Below are 18,335 nucleotides of genomic sequence, written 5' to 3'. Positions count from 1 at the left end.
GTCATTTAATAACGGGGGACACTGAGGTCTCAGGGTCGTGGACTTGCTTGTGGCCATCCAAAGGCAAGTAACAGAGCCCAAGTTCAAGCCCTCATCTTTTGACTTAAATCAGATGCTCTTCCATTCCTTATGGCTCTGCTTGGGGAGTTTCTCCCAAGTGCACAGGGAACTGGAAGGACCTGGGAAACCACACTGGAGCCTCCAGCCTGCAGCCTTTGCCTCTTTTTCTTCCCCAAAGTCCAGCCTCTTCATTCCTTTCGGAGGCCACTGCCCTGGCCTTGGCTTTTTCCCCACCTGAGAAGAAGCAAGTCAGTGGAGAGTTTCCTGAGGGTACGTGGCAGGCCTGCCAGAGACCTCACTCCTCCAGCAACCTAGACGTAGAGCAGGGTGCCTTTCGAGGGGAATGACTGGATGGCTGGGAGGAAGCCGGGGGTCCGGTGTGCAGGGGGTAGAGGGGTGGGCAGATCCTGCCTGTCCCTGCTAGGATTGTGAGGCAGGTATGGGTGGGTAGTTTCTGCCTCTCTTCCCTTCCTAGCTCTTGTCTACTGTACCAAAAGGGGAAATGACAAAAAGTCAGCTCAAAATTCCAGCTGGAATACTTGAAACACTTGACACTTGCCAGGAAATTAGTTCTTTTTTATTTATTTTTTATTTTTTGACAGAATCTCACTCTGTCGCCCAGGCTGGAGTGCAGTGGCACGATCTTGGCTCACTGCAAGCTCCACCTCCCGGGTTCACGCCATTCTCCTGCCTCAGCCTCCTGAGTAGCTGGGACTACAGGTGCCTACCACCACGCCCGGCTAATTTTTTTTTTTTTTTTTTTTTTTGTATTTTTAGTAGAGACGGGGTTTCACTGTGTTAGCCAGGATGGTCTCAATCTCCTGACCTCATGATTCGCCCACCTCAGCCTCCCAAAGTGCTGGGATTACAGGTGTGAGCCACCATGCCCGGCCGAAATTAGTTCTTTAAAGTAATTTTTCCATATAGAACCCATCCAAGAGGTAGATGATTCAGGGTGGGACAGGATCCAAGGCTTTGTAACCAGAGTGGAACTCTTATTCAGAGCTTAGTAAGCCAAGGCAAAAGGACTCTTTGTGAAAGGTTCAGTTTATAGGATGATAGCCCCATATGCTCTGTGGCAGCTCCTGGGATGGGGCCTCATCTTCAGCCCCGGCCCTGATTTTGTAACTGGTTATGTGCAGATGTCAAAGATGGCCCCAAGACCCTGTTCCAGCAGCTTAGGTGATCTGACATGTGGGTCCCAGGCAGGAGGCCACTATGAACTTTATAGGCTGCAAATGAACCCATGGTTTGCTTTAAAGGCCCAGCAGAGATTTAAGGGTATGGCTGTAGGAATAGTTACTGCTATTGCCCTGCCACCAGGTGATCCACTTAATGCGTCAGCCTTTGTATCCCAAGTCCTCCACCTTTCTCTGACCCCTTAGACTGCTGGGGGCCACAGGGTAAGGCCTGGGGCTGGATTGGACAGGAGCCCTTGAGAGGCTTGTCTGAGTCTGTGCTCCCCACCTTGAGCACAGGTCATGGAAAGTGACAGAAGCCCTTACCTGCTTCCCCCATGGGGAGAATCGGCTTACTCCAGCTTGCGGCACAGGGCTGTCCACCACCAAAGCCTCAGAGGAGTCCAGCTGGGGTAAAGCCGCCATCTGGGCAGTGTCTGCTCCTGATGTTTGCATCTGGGCTGTGTTCTACTGGTGACAGGAGGAAACTCTGCTGAGGAGATGCTGAAAGGGCTGCCAGGCAAACACAGCCCTTGGGCATCTCATCTTCCTGCTCCATGTCAACCCAGGCACCACAAGGCTGTGCTTAAAGGTAGGAAAAGAGTGGCCTGACACTGGCCAGCAGCCTGGCAGAAGCAGGGTGACCTCACACAGTTATTCTACAAGCTCACCCAAAGTCCATAAGCCTTTTTAAGTGTTGAGAACTCGGGGCACACTGAGGACCTCTTCGTTCTCCCAGGGCCTGGCACCCATGAGGTTTCTAATTGCTGTTTGTTGAGCAAAGGAACAACCTGAACTCAAAATTCTCCAGACTTGAGACTCCCTGCACCTTGAATCTGTGCCCTCTGACAGTCTGAGCATTGAGGAGGGTGGCTGGGAGGGGACAGGCTATGGGATACATGGCCAGGGAGGAGAGAGGAGTGAAAGAGCTAAGGCAGTCAGGAAGGCACCTGCACCAGCACAGCCTGGGACAGCACGAGGGCACTGGAGAGAAGGACAAAGGAGAGGAGCCCAGCAGGCGGGAGGAGGGCTGGAGGACAGCAACGATTGGCTTCTCCTTGCTTCAAATGGGTGCCAGCACCCAAGGGTGAGCAGCGCCCCAGAGCCCCTGAGAATCCTGGGCCAGGCCATGGGCTACCAGTGTCTGTCCACTGGGAGGGAGGCCAGGCAGAGTGAGGTGGAGACCCACACACGCCAGCAGAATACACAAGAACGCATGCTCAGATGCCTGTCCAGGTGGATGTAACTCATATGTGCACATATTCCCAAACACAGACCTCCAGGTGCAGGTGCCTGCCAGCTAGACCAGTATATGTGTACATCATGTGTATGGTTGATAACTACATATGTGCATGAACACACACATGTCCCAGACCAGATTTGTACTGATAAGCACAGTAGGGTAGAGTGCAAAGGTCATAGGGTCACAGGTCCCAACCCCTCCCTCCACTAGCAAGCTCTGTGTGTTTAGGCAAATTACTTAACCTTGACCTTCAGTATTATATTTTTTAATAGAGGTAAGGTCTTGCTATGTTGCCCAAGCTGGTGTCAAACGTGCGAGCTCAAGCAATCCTCCCACTTCAGCCTCCCAAAGTGCTGGGATTACAGGCATGAACCACTGCGCCTGGACTACTTTACCTTTATAAGCCTCATATTTCTTACCTTATAAAAACAGTGGTGACTCTAATCTCACAGAGCTGTTCTAAGATTAAATGAGATGGCTCATGTAAAGAATCTGTCACAGAGCTTGGCACATCTGCTATTGGGTCTGAGTGCTAGTGAGACGGCCACATCCAGGGGCATGAGTGGGAGCACTGTTGTCAGAGACCCTGAGGGTCCCACCCCAGAGCCCCCTTTCCTTATCTTTAAATTGGGCATGGCAGTACTCTATACCTCTCTGGCATGCTGTGGATATCAAGAAAGAACTGCGTGTGGGTGTCATGAAAGCTGGAGGGTGCTGTATGAAATGCAGTTGTTACAACCATCACTAGTCACCTCTGGCTCGCAGACCTGCCCCCACCCCTTCCCCTAGCCTGAGCAGAACCTTCTTGTCTGGTCAGAGCTCAGAAATGCCAGCAGGTGGCAGCCTTATGGGGTTGGAGGGACAATCTGCTGCAAATCCACTGCACTGTAGCCAGACAGGGTACAGCCCCTCCCCTGAGCAGAGGGCCTGAGCCTCTGTGCACCAGCAGGAGACTGACCAGGTTTATGGACATGAAGAATCCAGAGCCCTCCCCACCTGAAGGAAGAAGAGAAAGGGCCACTCATGTAGGAAAACACTTGTTGGGTTTTTAACACAAAAAGTTCTGATCTGAGAGCATTATCAATGAGTGGGGGTTAAGGGTGCTTCCATTCCCGAGCAAGAGAGGGAAAGGAACTACTTCTGTGTTAAGGGATCATGGAGTCAGAGTCAAGGTCACTGGGCAGGCCCACCACCAGGGCCTATCTGTCTAGACCAACCTGCTACATCACAGTTCCCAGCAGGGTTAGCCTTTCTCCTTCCCCTTTTATTGGTTGAGTGAGTGAGTGATTGATTGAATGATTATATTATATACTTACAGAAAAGTGTTCCTATTTCTGGATGCCTGCCTTAGCTGTTGTCCAGACATTCTTTTTTTCTTCTTCTTTTTAAATAAGAGCTGAGAAAATAAAGGGTGACCACACAGTGAGAGGGTCCTGCCCTAAATCTAAGGCTGGGGTGAATGTCTCAGTCAAGCCGGCGACTTCCATCTTCCCCGCTGGCCAGCAGCCTGTGATCAAGTCCACACTGAACAGGCCCTTTGCCCAGAGGGCCTCTTGATCTTTATTGATCTTTGGAATTCTTCAGGAACCGGGTTGGCGAATGCAGTTGCCAGGTGTCACTGATGCTACAGAACAGCTCTGCCAGAGCCCTTCCACGGTGAGTGCCCCCAGGAGCTGCCCCTCCAGGCCATGCCCCCATCCCCACCTTCCTCCTGGCCCCGGCAGCTCCAGCCCAGCAGCCCTAGATTGTTTGTGTCCTGCAGCTGAGGCTGCCAAAGCCAGAAGGGAGAGCCTGGAAGGGGAATGAGGGAGGGAGAGCAGGGGAAGGAGGGGGTGATTTTTTTTTTTTTTTTTTTTGCACACACCCTTATAAGGCTACTGAAGTCATTACCGATGTAATAAACCAACTAAGCAAGCGAGCGCCTCTCACCAATGTTCCCATCTATAAACACAGCCTGGCCGGCCTCCCCCATCCCCTCCCGCTCCCCTCTACCCTCCCACCCTCAGGGATTTGCTCTCCCCTGAAGTTTCTTTCTTACCCAGCCCCTTTTCCTCCTGCTACTTTCCTTTTTCCCTACACTGGTTGCAGGGGGAGGGAGCCTGCCAGCTGCGAGGACCTCTGTGGTGGAGGAGTTGGTGCTGATGGTGGTGGTAGTGACCGCTATGGGTCCCTGAGGCCTGGCTGGCCAGCAAGAGGGCAGGGTTGGCTAGAGGAGGAAGACGGCGAGGACGTGCGAGGGGTGCTGAAGAGGCGCGTGGAGACGAGGCAGCACACTGAGGAGGCGATCCGCCAGCAGGAGGTGGAGCAGCTGGACTTCCGAGACCTCCTGGGGAAGAAGGTGAGTACAAAGACCCTATCGGAAGACGACCTGAAGGAGATCCCAGCCGAGCAGATGGATTTCCGTGCCAACCTGCAGCGGCAAGTGAAGCCAAAGACTGTGTCTGAGGAAGAGAGGAAGGTGCACAGCCCCCAGCAGGTCGATTTTCGCTCTGTCCTGGCCAAGAAGGGGACTTCCAAGACCCCCGTGCCTGAGAAGGTGCCACCGCCAAAACCTGCCACCCCGGATTTTCGCTCAGTGCTGGGTGGCAAGAAGAAATTACCAGCAGAGAATGGCAGCAGCAGTGCCGAGACCCTGAATGCCAAGGCAGTGGAGAGTTCCAAGCCCCTGAGCAATGCACAGCCTTCAGGGCCCTTGAAACCCGTGGGCAACGCCAAGCCTGCTGAGACCCTGAAGCCAATGGGCAACGCCAAGCCTGCCGAGACCCTGAAGCCCATGGGCAATGCCAAGCCTGATGAGAACCTGAAATCCGCTAGCAAAGAAGAACTCAAGAAAGACGTTAAGAATGATGTGAACTGCAAGAGAGGCCATGCAGGGACCACAGATAATGAAAAGAGATCAGAGAGCCAGGGGACAGCCCCAGCCTTCAAGCAGAAGCTGCAAGATGTTCATGTGGCAGAGGGCAAGAAGCTGCTGCTCCAGTGCCAGGTGTCTTCTGACCCCCCAGCCACCATCATCTGGACGCTGAACGGAAAGACCCTCAAGACCACCAAGTTCATCATCCTCTCCCAGGAAGGTAAATGAGCATGGGGGTTGGGGAAGAAGGGGCCTCTGTACCAGGGCCACTCCTAGCTCATGGAGCGTTGGTCTCGCTGACCCCTGTTAGCAGCCCATAGGTAGGCTGCTAACCTGGTTTAGCAGGTAGGAGGGCCTGCTGGGTAGGAGGGCCGCGTCCCTGTTTCCTGCTAACTCAAGGATAGGTCCCGGCTCAGGGGCCTTGGGTACATGCACCAAGGCTGGGGCTAAGGGCTGGGATCCTGGTCCTTGTGGCACATGCCCACATCTCGGCACCCATCTGGCAGAGCCCTCTCATGGCACCGCCACCTGTGGCTCCCCAGAGGAGACCTGAGCCTGAGTTAATTCCAAGCTCCGGCATGGAGAGGGCTCTGTCTACAGGCTTGGAGGTGGGGGACACAGAGGCTGGAGCCAGGGAGAAGCTCTGAGTAAAGAGCTGTTTAGAGAAGCATCTTAGGTTTGGGGAACGGTGTGCAGTGACCAGATGGCACGGAGCTCTGAGTTGGGGTCAACAATAACTTCAGTCTTGATAGCACTGTGGGTTTGAAGGGATCTGTCGGGAAACCCAAAATCCCAAAACAGCCCCTACAGCACACACTCACGGGCAGACAGAGCTACTCGCTTCCTAATTTGGATGAGACTTTTGTTTGCTGGTATTTCACATTCTTGGATGGTGGGGAGAGGAGGGGGGCCCCAAATCCTTCCATCTGTGTGGACTTTTGGGGTCTGGAGTTTTCAGAGGAGCCAGTTTATACTTGGAGAAGAGATGGGGGTGACACAGGAGTATTTTCTCTGGACCCTCAATTTGGTTTGAAGTGCTTTTGTAAATCCCAAGTCTGGGTGGGAGCTCTGAGGCCGGCCGACCTCCACACCCCATTCTGGCAGCCAGCGGAGGGATAGGTTGCCAGCACAGAACAGAGTCCTGCCTGAGCTGATGCTGGTGGCTCCAGACAGGGTAGGGTACAAAGAAGCTCCCAGGAAGTGACATTTCACCCTTGAGGGGCAGAGGGCAGCCACAGAAGAAGCCGGAGTGGACAGGTCCTGTCAAATCTGAGTCAGCTGAGGTGTCAGAGTGCTCTTCCTGTGGGCTGCTCCCCTCCCTGGCCCCTGGCAGCACCCTCCCCACTCCCTCCCTCACCTTTTATCGTGCCTGCCTTCCCCTCACAAGCAGAATGGAGCATTTGAAGATCACAGAATCCCTCTCAGCCCCCGGTAAGGGTCTGTCTTCCCTCTACATCTGGGACAGCACACCTGGAGCAGCTGAGTATATTGAATCTCAGCGCTGAAAGAGTGAAGGGGACACTGGCTGGCAGAGAGAAACATGTTATTTTCTGCTAATGTGTTGACGCAGTAACTTTTCCATGTGGATGTCCTCAGATTGGCAGGGTCCTCCAGAAGTCGTCTCCTCCATCCCCCACCTCTGCTGGCTCAGCCCCCCTCCCCTGAGGCATGGGGGATTATTGGGCTGGGGTGAGACTTCAGAGGAGCAGACGCCACAACCTGTCCTGCCGCCCCTGTGGGGCTCTCCCACTTGGAAAGTCCTTGGTAAAACTGATTGGAAACCCTGACTGGGAACATTTCCCAGGTCACCCTACGGTGATCTCTCCAGGCAGGATGCAGGGTGGCATCCACCATCCTCAGGACAAGGTTGGGGCTGTCCCCTGGCTCTCTGATCTCTTTTCATTATCTGTGGTCCCTGCATGGCCTCTCTTGCAGTTCGCATCATTCTTAATATCTTTCTTGAGTTCTTCTTTGCTAGTGGATTTCAGGTTCTCATCAGGCTTGGCGCTGCCCATGGGCTTCAGGGTCTCAGCAGGTTTGGCGTTGGGAGGTCTGTGGCTGCTCCAGCCTCAGGGAAACTGAGGTTAAGTCAGTTGGGGGCAGCTGTTCTTGGGCTTGCATGGGGTTTAAACCCAGAGCCATCAACAGCCACTTACAAACAATTCACTCAACTAAGCGATGTAAGGCAGACCCCAGGCCTGGTCTCAGAAACTCTTCTGAGCCATTAGCCACTGTCTTCTCGTGCCCTGAGTGCCTGCAGTATGTTTTCCCTGCTGGTCCCTTAGTGGTAAAGAGCCTAGAGATCCTAGCCACTCCAGCCTCCCTTCCCATGGAAACCGTCCCAGAGGGAACAGTTCAGATCCAGAGCAGCAGCAGAAGAAATGATCCAAGGAAGGCTGCACACGAAGGGGAGAGAGAGACCAGGAGAGGTGGAAAGGGATTCCAGAGAGAGCCCCAAATCAAACTGTAAGACATCTTCTAAATATTTTTAAATTGTGTTTAAAGAATAGCTGACATATGTTGAACACTATGTGTTAGACACTATCTTAGGCCTCTTACACTTTTCACCCATTTAATCCTCCCAACAATGACTGTACTGTCCACCTAACAGAGAAGTTAAGTACCTTGCCAAATGCAAGGTGCTGGGGGTAACAGAGCTGGGATTTGAACTCAGGTGGCTGAGTTCCCGTGCCTAGACCACCGTGCTATATGACCTCTTAGTTAATTCCTATTATTTTATCAGGGTACTGGTGGCAGCTGAGAATTTGTCTATCAACAGAAAACACTAATGACTATTTACTCCTCGATTTTGTTAAGAGTTGTCCAAAGGTTGAAACACTGATGGTGCCCCTAGCCTTGCCAGGTTTCTGGTATTTTCCCTGCAGTGGTGGAAGCAGACCTTGCAATGGGCCTGTCTTGCTTCAGTACAGGAGAGTGCGTTGTCTCAAAAAATCGGCCCCACCTTCTGTCCCTTCACTCGCCAAGACTTCAAGAGCCCAGTGTTTTGTTAAGGAAAAAACTTATCTTAAGGCTTCATCTATCAGTCACCATTTAAGCAGGTCCCTCCTCAGGCAGTAGGGCATTCTGAGAGGTGGAGGGAGTCTTTTCTCAATAGATGTGGAAGGAGAAGACACACTCACAGTGATAAAATTGTTACAGCCAAGTGCTGACAAGTGCTATGAGTGTGTCGGGAGGAGCTGCTGGAAGTGGGAAGAGAGGGAGCTGAGTGCTGGACTTTGATCTAAGCCCCGAAGACAGGCCAGAGGGGACGGGCTTCCAGGCGGGGGCCCCGCAGCAGCAGAGGCGTCCTGCTAACAGCTTGTTCTGGGCTGGAGAGGATGACATGGCCCCAGTTTCATCCTATATTCTGCCAAGGAATTCCAGTCTAAAGGCAGTAGGGAATCATGCAAGATTTTGGGATGAAGAACACTGTACATGAAGCTCAGTTTAGGGGTTTTGGTGGACTCTGTGCCCAAAAGACAAATACAGAGCCTACTGAAGAGGTCGAGAGGAAGATGGTGAGGCCTAGACTAGCGTAGTAGCCACAACCACAGTCAGGGAATGACCAGTTCAAGAAGCAAGGATAGAAGTAATGGCACCTGTTGCCTGGCTTGGAAGGGCAGGATGGGGGTGGGGGTAGGTAAAGAAGATGAAGGAATGGAAGACCACTAAGTGTGGGTGCCTGAGTGGCTGGGGTCTCAGTGGTCGTGTCAGTGGGAATAAGGAAGCCGGTGGTTGGAGGAGGCTTCTAGGGGAAGGTGAGGGAATGGCTCCGCTGGCCTCCCGTCCTGCATCCTTCACACTCAGCTCAGCACTGGCCCTGCCCCCGGCTTCCTGACTTGGAGCCCTTTTTGCTCCACTGCACTGATCCCCACCCTGTCAGCTCTGCTACAAACAAGATTCACTTCCTCCAGGATGCCTTCCTGTTGTCACCCACCTTTGGCCACGAGAGACTCTTGCACTGTCCCCTCCCCATCAACCTGTGTATCTGCGTGCACCAACTGCTAGTGGACGTGCTGTTTATAGGTTTCAGGGGACTTCTCTGATGTCTGTAGCTTAGATAGGGCTCATAGCCCACAGACCCCCACCCAAACAGGATTACATCACCCCATTTAGTTCACCCCCTTTCGTGCTGAGGAAAGCAGAAGAGGTTTGACAGCCATGGGCTAGAGTTCACCACTAGTTGATTTGTGGCAGGACACAGACACGTGGAGGTGTCCTTCCTCTTCCTGTACCCCTAGAGCTGCAGGGCTGATGGGATTCAGAGTTACCACCAACTGGGCCTGCCCTCTGCCCCCAAGTCTTTTCCTAGCCCTTCCGGGACCTGCCTCTGCTGAGGGGTGGTGGGAGGCCGATGGTCCCGTGAGCTGAGGGGAGCTCTGTGGTGGCCTGAGAAGAGCTTTATCTTTATGCTTTGTTTCCTGTCTCCAGGCCAGGCTCCTCCTCCTGGCAAAACACTTTTCCGAGTCTAACAATGAGGATTCATTTTTGTTGCTGTTGTGAATAGGTAATTCATTTTTAATTGCCTTCAGGGTAGAATTTTGCAAAGGCTTTTTAAAAACCCATGTAAGTTCATCCTACGAAAAATGGATTTATGCAGCATCTACTATGAGCAAGGCATTATTCTAATGCCCTTTGTTGTGTGCATAATCCACTCAAAGAACTCTGAATTTTCTTTTTTCAGAAACTATATATTATCTTTTTCAATAGTAAGTTATATTTAACTGTTTGTGACCTTTTCTTACATAGATCCTACCAGATCACCTGCTACAGAAATATGCCTTCATCCTTCTCAGAATGACAAATATGTTTTACTGTGACTGCATTCCAGGCTTAGGAAAAACAGTGGTGTTAGACAGGGTCACTGCCCTCTGAGAGCTGGTGTGGGAGACAGGCATGCAGGTCAGCAATGGCCTTGTGAGCCGTGCTTTGACATGGGTGAGCTCAGAGTTGGGAGCACAGAAGAGGTCCGCCTAGGCCTGGGGGATTAGGGGGAACAAGGAGGACACCATGCCTGCAGGGGTGACCTGGAGATGAGTCTTACTGTCTGGGCTTGCCAGGTGGGCTGGGTAGGCTGACTGAGGCAGCCCTATAGCAGAGCCTCCAGGAAGCTCCCTCCCTCCATCCACATCCCCTTCCTCCCCTCTGCCCCCAACTCAGAAAAGGAGAGAGCTGGGGGAGCTTCAGACCCAGGAGCGCTTACTCCACCACAGCCCTGAGGGGCTCTCCCAGGCGGAGCTCTGCAGTGATGCTGACCTCTCCCATCCCCCTCATCTCCCTCTCAGAATTCCCCACCAGGCTGAGGCTTCTCAAAAAAAAACCTCTGGGAAACAGCTTTTCTTCTAGAGGTCAAGAATGAACTGTCCCACAGGAAATACCAGATTCTTCATCTGGGGTAGCCAAGCCTGCAAGCCTGCTAGGGGGGCCTCCCCAAGCCCATGCACATGGCCAGGGGTCCAGGCTCTGGGCAGGTTGGAAAAGCTGCCTGCCCCATGCCTTGCCCTGGGAGAGGAGGCAGGGGCCGGGTCCACATGCCCCTCTACTCTCTGTGTACTGTCTTTGCAGCTTGTATCATTTTGACTTAAGACTCAAGGCAGCTGAGGGACTGAAACTGAAAGAAAATCAAGGATTTGAACAGGATGTGCGTTGGGGGTGGGATATCTGTTCCCAAAGCCTTAGCCCCACCCTGACTTGAGGGAAAATTTCCAGATGGGATTGGTCTCTGCTAAGCCTCTGAGCCCCTCTAGTTGGGGCCAGAGGTCATCTTGGCATCCTCCCGCCCACCCAGATGAATGGAAAGTTCTCTCTCCAGGACATGGTTATCCTCATTCCCCACTCCTGTGCCTCACGATTCTTACTCTTATGACAGACTTCCTAAAATTCCAGCCTAAATCCTCTCCATTACAGTTTCTACAAATTCTGACTCCTAACTACAAAGGGAAGAGAACAGAGTGAAGCCTTCCCGAGGTTTGGGGTCTGTATAAGGGTATAGGAAGTGGGGAGTGGGGTGCAGATCAGCCCTCTTGCCCCAGGTGGTTTATAGGATGAAGGTTTCTCTGTTTAAAACAGTACCCTGGTGGCAAGGAGTAAAGGGGAATATTACACCCTTCCTTCCTCTTCCAGCCTTAGTGAGGTTTTCTGGGCAGAACTGATATCCTTACTCTTTCTAATCTCCTTGTATTTGCTGGTCAAGGCTGTGCATTTGTGTAATGGGGGGCAGGGACAGTAGTTGGTGTCCACTCAGAATGCACCCAGCTCTTCCCTCCCAATGCCAGTGGCTTGTGGGACATGAGATGGGAGCTCCAGGCAGCAAAGTGCATGTGGCCCTGGCTCTGTCCTCCTGTGTGACGGTTGCTTCCCTGACAACAGGGGCAGCTTTGAGCAGGATGCCCTGCTATTTACTTGTTTGTGCATCTGAAAGCAAGAATAAGGAACTGCTGCCCTTCTGCCTGGCCCAGCAGGCCTCTTTCCACACCCTGAGGGAACCTCCCCAAGGGGTGGCCCAGAGGAGAAGTAACCAGTTCTGGGATGAGAGAGCTGGCAGGGGCCAGGACGAGACCCTAGATTCCTGTGTGTGCCTAGCTGACACCTCCTTCCCCAAACCAGGCCAGAAGATGGTGCTGGGAGTGAAGGCAGGCCCAGGGGAGAGTCCATGGAGAAGAAAGGCCATCCCCACTTCTCTCTGGGGCAACCAGAAGACCCAACTCCGAAGGGAGGCAGCCCCAGAGGGCCCCTCTGCAGGTCCAGTCCCCCTCATTGGCCGTGGTTCTCCAGCTCAGACACCTTTCCTAAAAAGTCAGCTCCTGGGTGTAGTCACCACCTCCCAACAGATCTTCCCACAGGCCGGTGCCCCTCCTGGACAAGGGCTCCTAGCCTCCTCCACCCACTTCTTTGCTCAAAGCTTCAAAGCTCCCTTTTCCAGAATGCAGTCACAGCATCACTGCTGTAAACAAAGTGGGACCTCCTCACCTGTCACTGTTCCTAACACAGGTCTGTAACCCTGTGTCGGACTCCTTTTCTCTCTTGGTGACGTCCAGGGGGCAGGGCCTGTGTGCATCTCCTTGTATTGTATTGGATGGTCTCCAAAGGCAGAGGCTATTTCTCTCCCTTCTTTTGCAGCTTTCTATTATGTCCCCACAAGAGGACTCTTTGGAGTGGGGGAGGAGGTATCAGGAAGGAACGTATTTAGGGATCAGTTATTTTGGACATGGGTTATAAGCAGAAAGTTCCCTGGCTTTGGTGAGGAGTGGGGGATTGGTTCCCACAAGGCCTCTGGCTTCTGGGCTCCCAGAGGCTGCCCGTGCGAGTAACACTCACCTGCTGCGCTCCAGATGCCAGGGCAGGTACTACGACCACACCTGGTTCACTCCACAATTCTTCCTCCCCAGGCTCACTCTGCTCCGTCTCCATCGAGAAGGCACTGCCTGAGGACAGAGGCTTATACAAGTGTGTAGCCAAGAATGACGCTGGCCAGGCGGAGTGCTCCTGCCAAGTCACCGTGGATGGTAGGTCGTGCCCACCCATCGCCGCCACCCATACACAGGGGTCCCATTTCTCAGCCCCTCCCTTCCTTACCATACCTTGCCTGTCAGACAGAACTGCCTCCAACACTGCCCTCCCTACCCAAAGGCATTCATTTTGGATGAATGAATATCTTTTGCCAAAAGAAAAAGAGACAGGAAGGAAAGTGGCAGCTCTACTTGATCACCTACATGGCTTCACCCCTCCCCTGGCTGTCCTGTCCCCCTCCCAGTCCTGATCCCCACACCCAGAACCTTCTGAGCTGGGAAGCTGGGGCACTGGGCAGTAGAAAAGACACACCCACAGGAAAATGACTACAGAGTATTTTACAAAAGCCACAACAAACAAGTGTCCGAGCTGGCAGGACGACCCAGCAGGGTCAGCCGTGAGGAGGAGGGAGCAGAGCGAGGTCCGTGTGGGAGACTTCCTAGAGGAGGTGAGTCGGGGCTGAGTCTCTGGACAGAGAGGACAGGGCAGCCTCTGCCAAAACAAAATGGTAGTAGTAATAATAATACTGCAGAGGGAGGTGGGAGGACACATCGGGGAGAAAGCAGGCCTGCCAGGTCTTAGCGGAGTTTCTGTGTTAGGAAGAGGCAGTGCCAAGCTGCGAGGAACTGGGCTTTGTCCTAAGGAAATGCAGGAAGTGCATTCATGACTCTTTTTTCTCTCCTTCCTGGGGAGTATAGAATTGGAACCTGAGAAGTAGGATGAACCTCGTGATGATTTAGATGAACACCCTCATTTTACAGATAAGAAACTGAGGGCATCCAGAGAGGAAATGCATTTTGGAGGGGGGCTCTCTGGCCCATTTAGGGCCAAGCTGGGGCCAGAACCCCATCCCAGGACTCACAACCCAGGATCATTTCTTTGTATTTGGCACTTACCTGGAAATGTCTCAAAAGGTAGTTTTGGGGAAATAGTTTCTTGCCCTTGAAATGTCTGGTTAATAACCATCAGAGACACATCAAAAACTAGTGTCCAAATAAGGCATCTTGAAGCCCAGCTTGGTTGTTCTTCTCCCTCCTGTGTGTGATCAGTTGAGTTCTGAAGTCCTAGCCCGTCTCACTGCCATTCCACACCATGTAGAGCCCGTGTCCTCATTCTGGACTTTACAATTGGTTTCCTGATCACAGAGCTGAGCTCTATGGAACATGATGAATGGGAGAGAGGTGGAAAAGAAAGTCTTTTTTATAAAAACACAATGGCAGCACGAATTAATTGTTAATAGCCGAAAGGTAAGCTGAACTCATCTAATACTGTGTACTTCTCCTTGGAGATCGTGCGTATATGTGCTATAGGGGCTCTGAGTCTAAGGAAGCGGACTTGATGTGTCCAAGTTTATGCTCAATTCAGAGGGGGCATGGGACACATTTTGAGGTTCTGCACAGTGGATGCTGTGGCTGATGACTCCTGTGTGGGAGTCTCTCCTCACCCAGGCTGTCACCCACCCAGATCACAGTCCTGCTTCTTTCTATACAGGTGCTGCACTGTAAAGTATAGCGTTTCTGAAAACATGATCCTTGAAGCCCACGTCTAACACCCCTCTGCTCGTTTGGGACTCACACTGGTTCCCGAGCTAGTGAAGGAGGTTATCGGCTTTCGGAGCCTCTTTAGGTCCTGTTTACATGGCTAGCTGAAGGCAGGAGAGCAATTCATTCTCCCTATCTGTAAAATGTCAGCACCTTTTCTAGATTTGTTTTCAAGATGAAATTTCCTTTTCCCCTACTGAATACACTTGGGGATTTTTTTTTTAAGGTTTGGGGAATTCATTCTGCAACTTAAAAGGCTTTGTTTGCCCAGAGTCTGCTGGCAGATTCCCTTGTCCTCTCCACTAATCTTGATGACCATCATTATTTATCCCTAATTCCTTCAAATGCAGAGTTAGGCCTCCAGCTGCAAATTGGGAGCTGGGTCTTGGAAGAAGAGCTAGAAAAGTGATAGGAGGGAGCCCAGCTGAGATAACAGGACTGACTCTCAGTCCATTGGGTTTGGTTTTGTTGACAGAAAGGATAAGGGTGGCCTCTTCCCCCTGCTTTTCTTTCCCTGTTGCTATACTTACAGATATATTAGCATCCTGTTTGCCCACATTTAGCTTTATTTTTTCATCAAGAGCCTCTCTAGGAAAGTAGTAAAGGACTGTTGTCACTTTGACAGCTCCCCTGTCGCCTTTCTATCGTCTGGTGCTCCACCCCACTGGCTAGGCTACATCTCCTGCCCTCATTCTGTCCCCTCATCCCCTCAGCTCTCCCTACTCCCCAAGGCATCATACTTGACTTGGGGATCCCAGTGGGTTTGTGCCTCCCCTGAAATTACAGGCAAAATGTTGCATTATGTGGGTTGGAGCATCTTTCTGAAGAGAGGGGTCCATAGTTTTTAGTCAAATTCTCAAAAGGAGTCATGAATCAGAATACGTTGAAGAACTACTTGCCGTAAGCAGCAACAATGACTGAATTTTCAAGCCCAGCCATTGTGTGGGCTCTTCCAGCCTGTCTCCAGCTGCAACTGCCCACCCAACCTCTGCATAGAACCAGGCCTTCATCCCTCTTATGGGGCAATGAGGTCCATCTCCACTAGGCGATGGGACTACAGCTGGTGCTGACTTCAGACTGGCTTCCCCAGCCACTCAGCAGGGCTGGCCTGGCCCCTGAAAGTCGCTATCATTCACTCATCCTGTGCCAAACACCATCGAGACCATACATCTGAGGCCAACATATCTTTCAAAATCTCATAAAAATGAGGCAAATGGGGCTAAAATAGCATTACCCACACTACTGATTCCCTCATATCATAAAGATAAGGGATGTAACCTTTATAACACAGCACAGCTGGCTATTTTAATCATGTGTTTGGGTCTTTTTCCTAAGAAAAGGGGTGTTTATGAACTTGCTTGATTATGGTCATATCACCCTTCCTTCTGAACTCAGCAGAAGACAAGGGTTAACTTGTGCCACATAGAAGGGAGCTAAAACCTAGAGTAAACGTGGACTTGCCCGAAAACTCACCCAGGAGGAGAACAAGCTGACCTTCAATGCCTGTCCTGGCCAGAGACTCTTGTGCACTTTGCATTTTCAGTCTATGCAACAGTTGGGCAGGGTGTCTTTCTCAGTGAGCAAACTGAGGCTCACCAAGGGTCAGCTGCCTTCCAGGCCCCACAGACAGTAGGTGTAGATCTGGTGTTGGGGCTCCACCCTGCACAGTGAATTACAACATGAAATATCCTGGCAGGACTCAGTGGTCTGGCTCTGAAACCTGTTCCTTTCCACAGCCTGACACAGCCTCCCCGGGCAGTGAATTACCATGGTGGGGCCCGCTCCCAGAGTGATCCAGACCTCCCTGAGTAACAGTCCTCCCTGTGGGGAGGTCCTTCTGCACGTGGGACTCAGTAACCCCTTTCCTCTCATTCCAACCCAGATGAGCAGTGAGGAAACTAAGTCCTTCCTAGGCCAGAATCCCATGAGAGGACTCAAAAAACACCTTAGCCCCTCACTGGCTCATCCAGTCATTCTCAACTCAGGCCTCCTGTCCCCAGCCACCCTGGCCAGGGCATCCAGCTTTTGGTACCAGTGAGACCAGGGCTTTGTGACCACAGAGGGTCATGCATGATTGTGATGGGAAGGGACACTCCAGTGGGTACTCATGCCATCACTCAGTCATTCAACTAATATCTGAGTGCCCACTCTGTGCCAGGCACTGCCATAGGAGCTGGTTTTAAAACAGTAAATGAAGTAGGAAAAGTTCCAGCTTTTGGGACTTTTCTAGTGGGAAAGAGGCAGTAATGCAGGTGAACAGCTGTGTCATATCCTCAGGTAATGTCACCAGCTATGAAGAAAGCAAAGCAGGGTAATGGGGGAGAGAATACCATTTTTGGAGGGGGTGGTCACTGAGGCCCCTCTGAGGAAGGAACATTTGAACAGAGACTGAAGGAAGCAGGGAAGGAAGAGGGACAAGGTGACAACAAGAGCATAGCCCTGAGCTGAGGACACTGTGCTTAAGGCGTTTCAGGAGGCAGGAGGCCAGGGTGGTGGAGCCATGAGCAAGGGGCAGGATGGTAGGAAGTGAGGTTGAGGAGGACCGTGGACCAGATCCAGGCAGTGTTGGCTAGGACAAAAAAAATGAGATTTTATTCTAAGTGTTATGGGCCAACACTGGACATTTATGAAGGATCACTCATGTCCATGTGATGACCAGACCCAGGATGAGTCAGAGGGAAAGCAGGGAGCACAATGGGGGGTTGCCACAATAGGGACAGGAAGTGATCAGATTCATAACCTCTTTGGCTGTAGAGCTGATATGAGTTGCTGGTGAGCTGGGTATGGAGAGAGAGAGAAGTTAAAGATGACTCAGTTTTCATGGGGGAGTGAAGACCAATGGTGGGGCTGGGGGGCACGATCAAGAGTTTAGTGCATGTGAAGTTTAAGATTGCTATTTGACCTCTCAAGCGGTCCTGTCACATAGGCAGGTGTTTAGGTGAACCTGGAGTTGAGGGGGAGGTCAGAGTTGGAGGTGGGATACAGGGAGCCATCCACACACAGAGGCCATTCACTGCCCTGGGGTTGAATGAGGTCCCTGGAGAGTACAGAGGTGGCTATAAGAAGAGGGAGAGAGAGAGAGGCAGGGGCAGGACAGGGGCCTGCGAAGAAGACTAAGAAGGAAGTACTCCAGTGAGATGGGAAGAAACCCAGGAGATGGGGGTGTCCCAGAAACCAAATGCTAAGAACTTCAAAAAGGAAGGAATGATCAAGATTAGTGTGCCAGGCCAGGTGTGGTGGCTCACACCTGTAATACCAACACTTTGAGAAGCAGGTGAATTGCTTGAGCCAGGAGTTCAATATCAGCCTGGGCTACATGGTGAAACCCTGTCTCTACAAAAAATACAAAAGTTGCCTGGATGCTGTGGGGCATGCCTGTAGTCCCAGCTACTCAGGAGGATGAGCCAGGAGGACAGCTTGAGCATGGGAGGTTGAGGCTACAGTGAGCCAAGATTGTACCACGGTACTCCAGCCTGTGGGACAGAGGGAGACCCTGTCAAAAAAAAAGAAGAAAGGAAGAAAAGGAAGAAAGGGAAGGAAGGAAGGAGGGAAGGAAGGAAAGGAAGGAAGGAATGAAGGTAGGAAGGAAGGAAGGAAGGAAGAAAGGAAGGAAGGAAGGGTCAGGTGCTGCTGCCAAATAAAGATGAGCCTGAGCACTGGCTATTGGGTTTGCCAACATTGAGGTCATTGGTGACCTTGCAAGAGGGCTTCAGGGGAGTGATAGTAACAATAGCCTCATCTCAGGCAAACAGAGACTGAGTCACCTGCTCAAGGTCACCCTAACTAGCAGAGTGGGAAGTTAAACCCAAGCCTTGGTGCCTAACCACTGTGATCCACTGTTATCTTGGCCCCTGGGCACTTCTGATTATTGCTGAGCTGATTTTGATCCACCCCTCCTTTCTTGGCCTCAGCCCTGCCATATTACTAAGTCTGCTCCCACCCCCACATTT

General features: G+C 51.9%; 1 protein-coding gene and 2 long non-coding RNA genes across 26 annotated transcripts in view; 1 reads left to right on the top strand and 2 right to left on the bottom strand.

The window, feature by feature from the left end:
- The window catches only part of LOC105369194 (uncharacterized), a 23,585-nt gene extending 10,826 nt beyond the window's left edge, over nt 1-12,759 (bottom strand). For 2 of the 5 annotated variants that reach the window (XR_001740871.3, XR_924418.4), the window contains exons 1-2: nt 3,798-4,265; nt 1,566-1,709 (exon numbers count right to left, since the gene is read on the bottom strand). This is a non-coding gene — a long non-coding RNA (uncharacterized LOC105369194). Of the gene's footprint in view, nt 1-1,565; nt 1,710-3,797; nt 4,266-12,652 lie in introns of those variants that run through there. The other 3 variants (XR_007096036.1, XR_924417.4, XR_007096037.1) reach the window with 3 other exon arrangements.
- MYLK (myosin light chain kinase) overlaps nt 1-18,335 on the top strand; it is a 274,284-nt gene that overhangs the window by 178,758 nt on the left and 77,191 nt on the right. For 17 of the 20 annotated variants that reach the window (XM_047448184.1, XM_024453532.2, NM_001321309.2 and 14 more), the window contains 3 exons: nt 4,066-4,137; nt 4,570-5,555; nt 12,724-12,840. In XM_047448184.1, coding sequence (XP_047304140.1) covers nt 4,066-4,137; nt 4,570-5,555; nt 12,724-12,840 — 1,175 coding nt within the window. Of the gene's footprint in view, nt 1-4,065; nt 4,138-4,569; nt 5,556-12,723; nt 12,841-13,193; nt 13,293-18,335 lie in introns of those variants that run through there. The other 3 variants (XM_047448188.1, XM_017006470.3, XM_017006471.3) reach the window with 1 other exon arrangement.
- On the bottom strand, nt 13,168-15,931 carry MYLK-AS2 (MYLK antisense RNA 2). Its single transcript, NR_046629.1, has 3 exons — nt 15,859-15,931; nt 13,741-13,998; nt 13,168-13,336 (listed from the first exon to the last, which is right to left on the bottom strand). It is a non-coding gene; the product is annotated as an MYLK antisense RNA 2 (long non-coding RNA).

This window comes from Homo sapiens, chromosome 3 (genome assembly GCF_000001405.40).
Source record: "Homo sapiens chromosome 3, GRCh38.p14 Primary Assembly".
NCBI classification, from domain to species: domain Eukaryota; kingdom Metazoa; phylum Chordata; class Mammalia; order Primates; family Hominidae; genus Homo; species Homo sapiens.
Note: the sequence above shows the minus strand (reverse complement) of the source record. Positions and strands in the feature narration are given on the sequence as shown.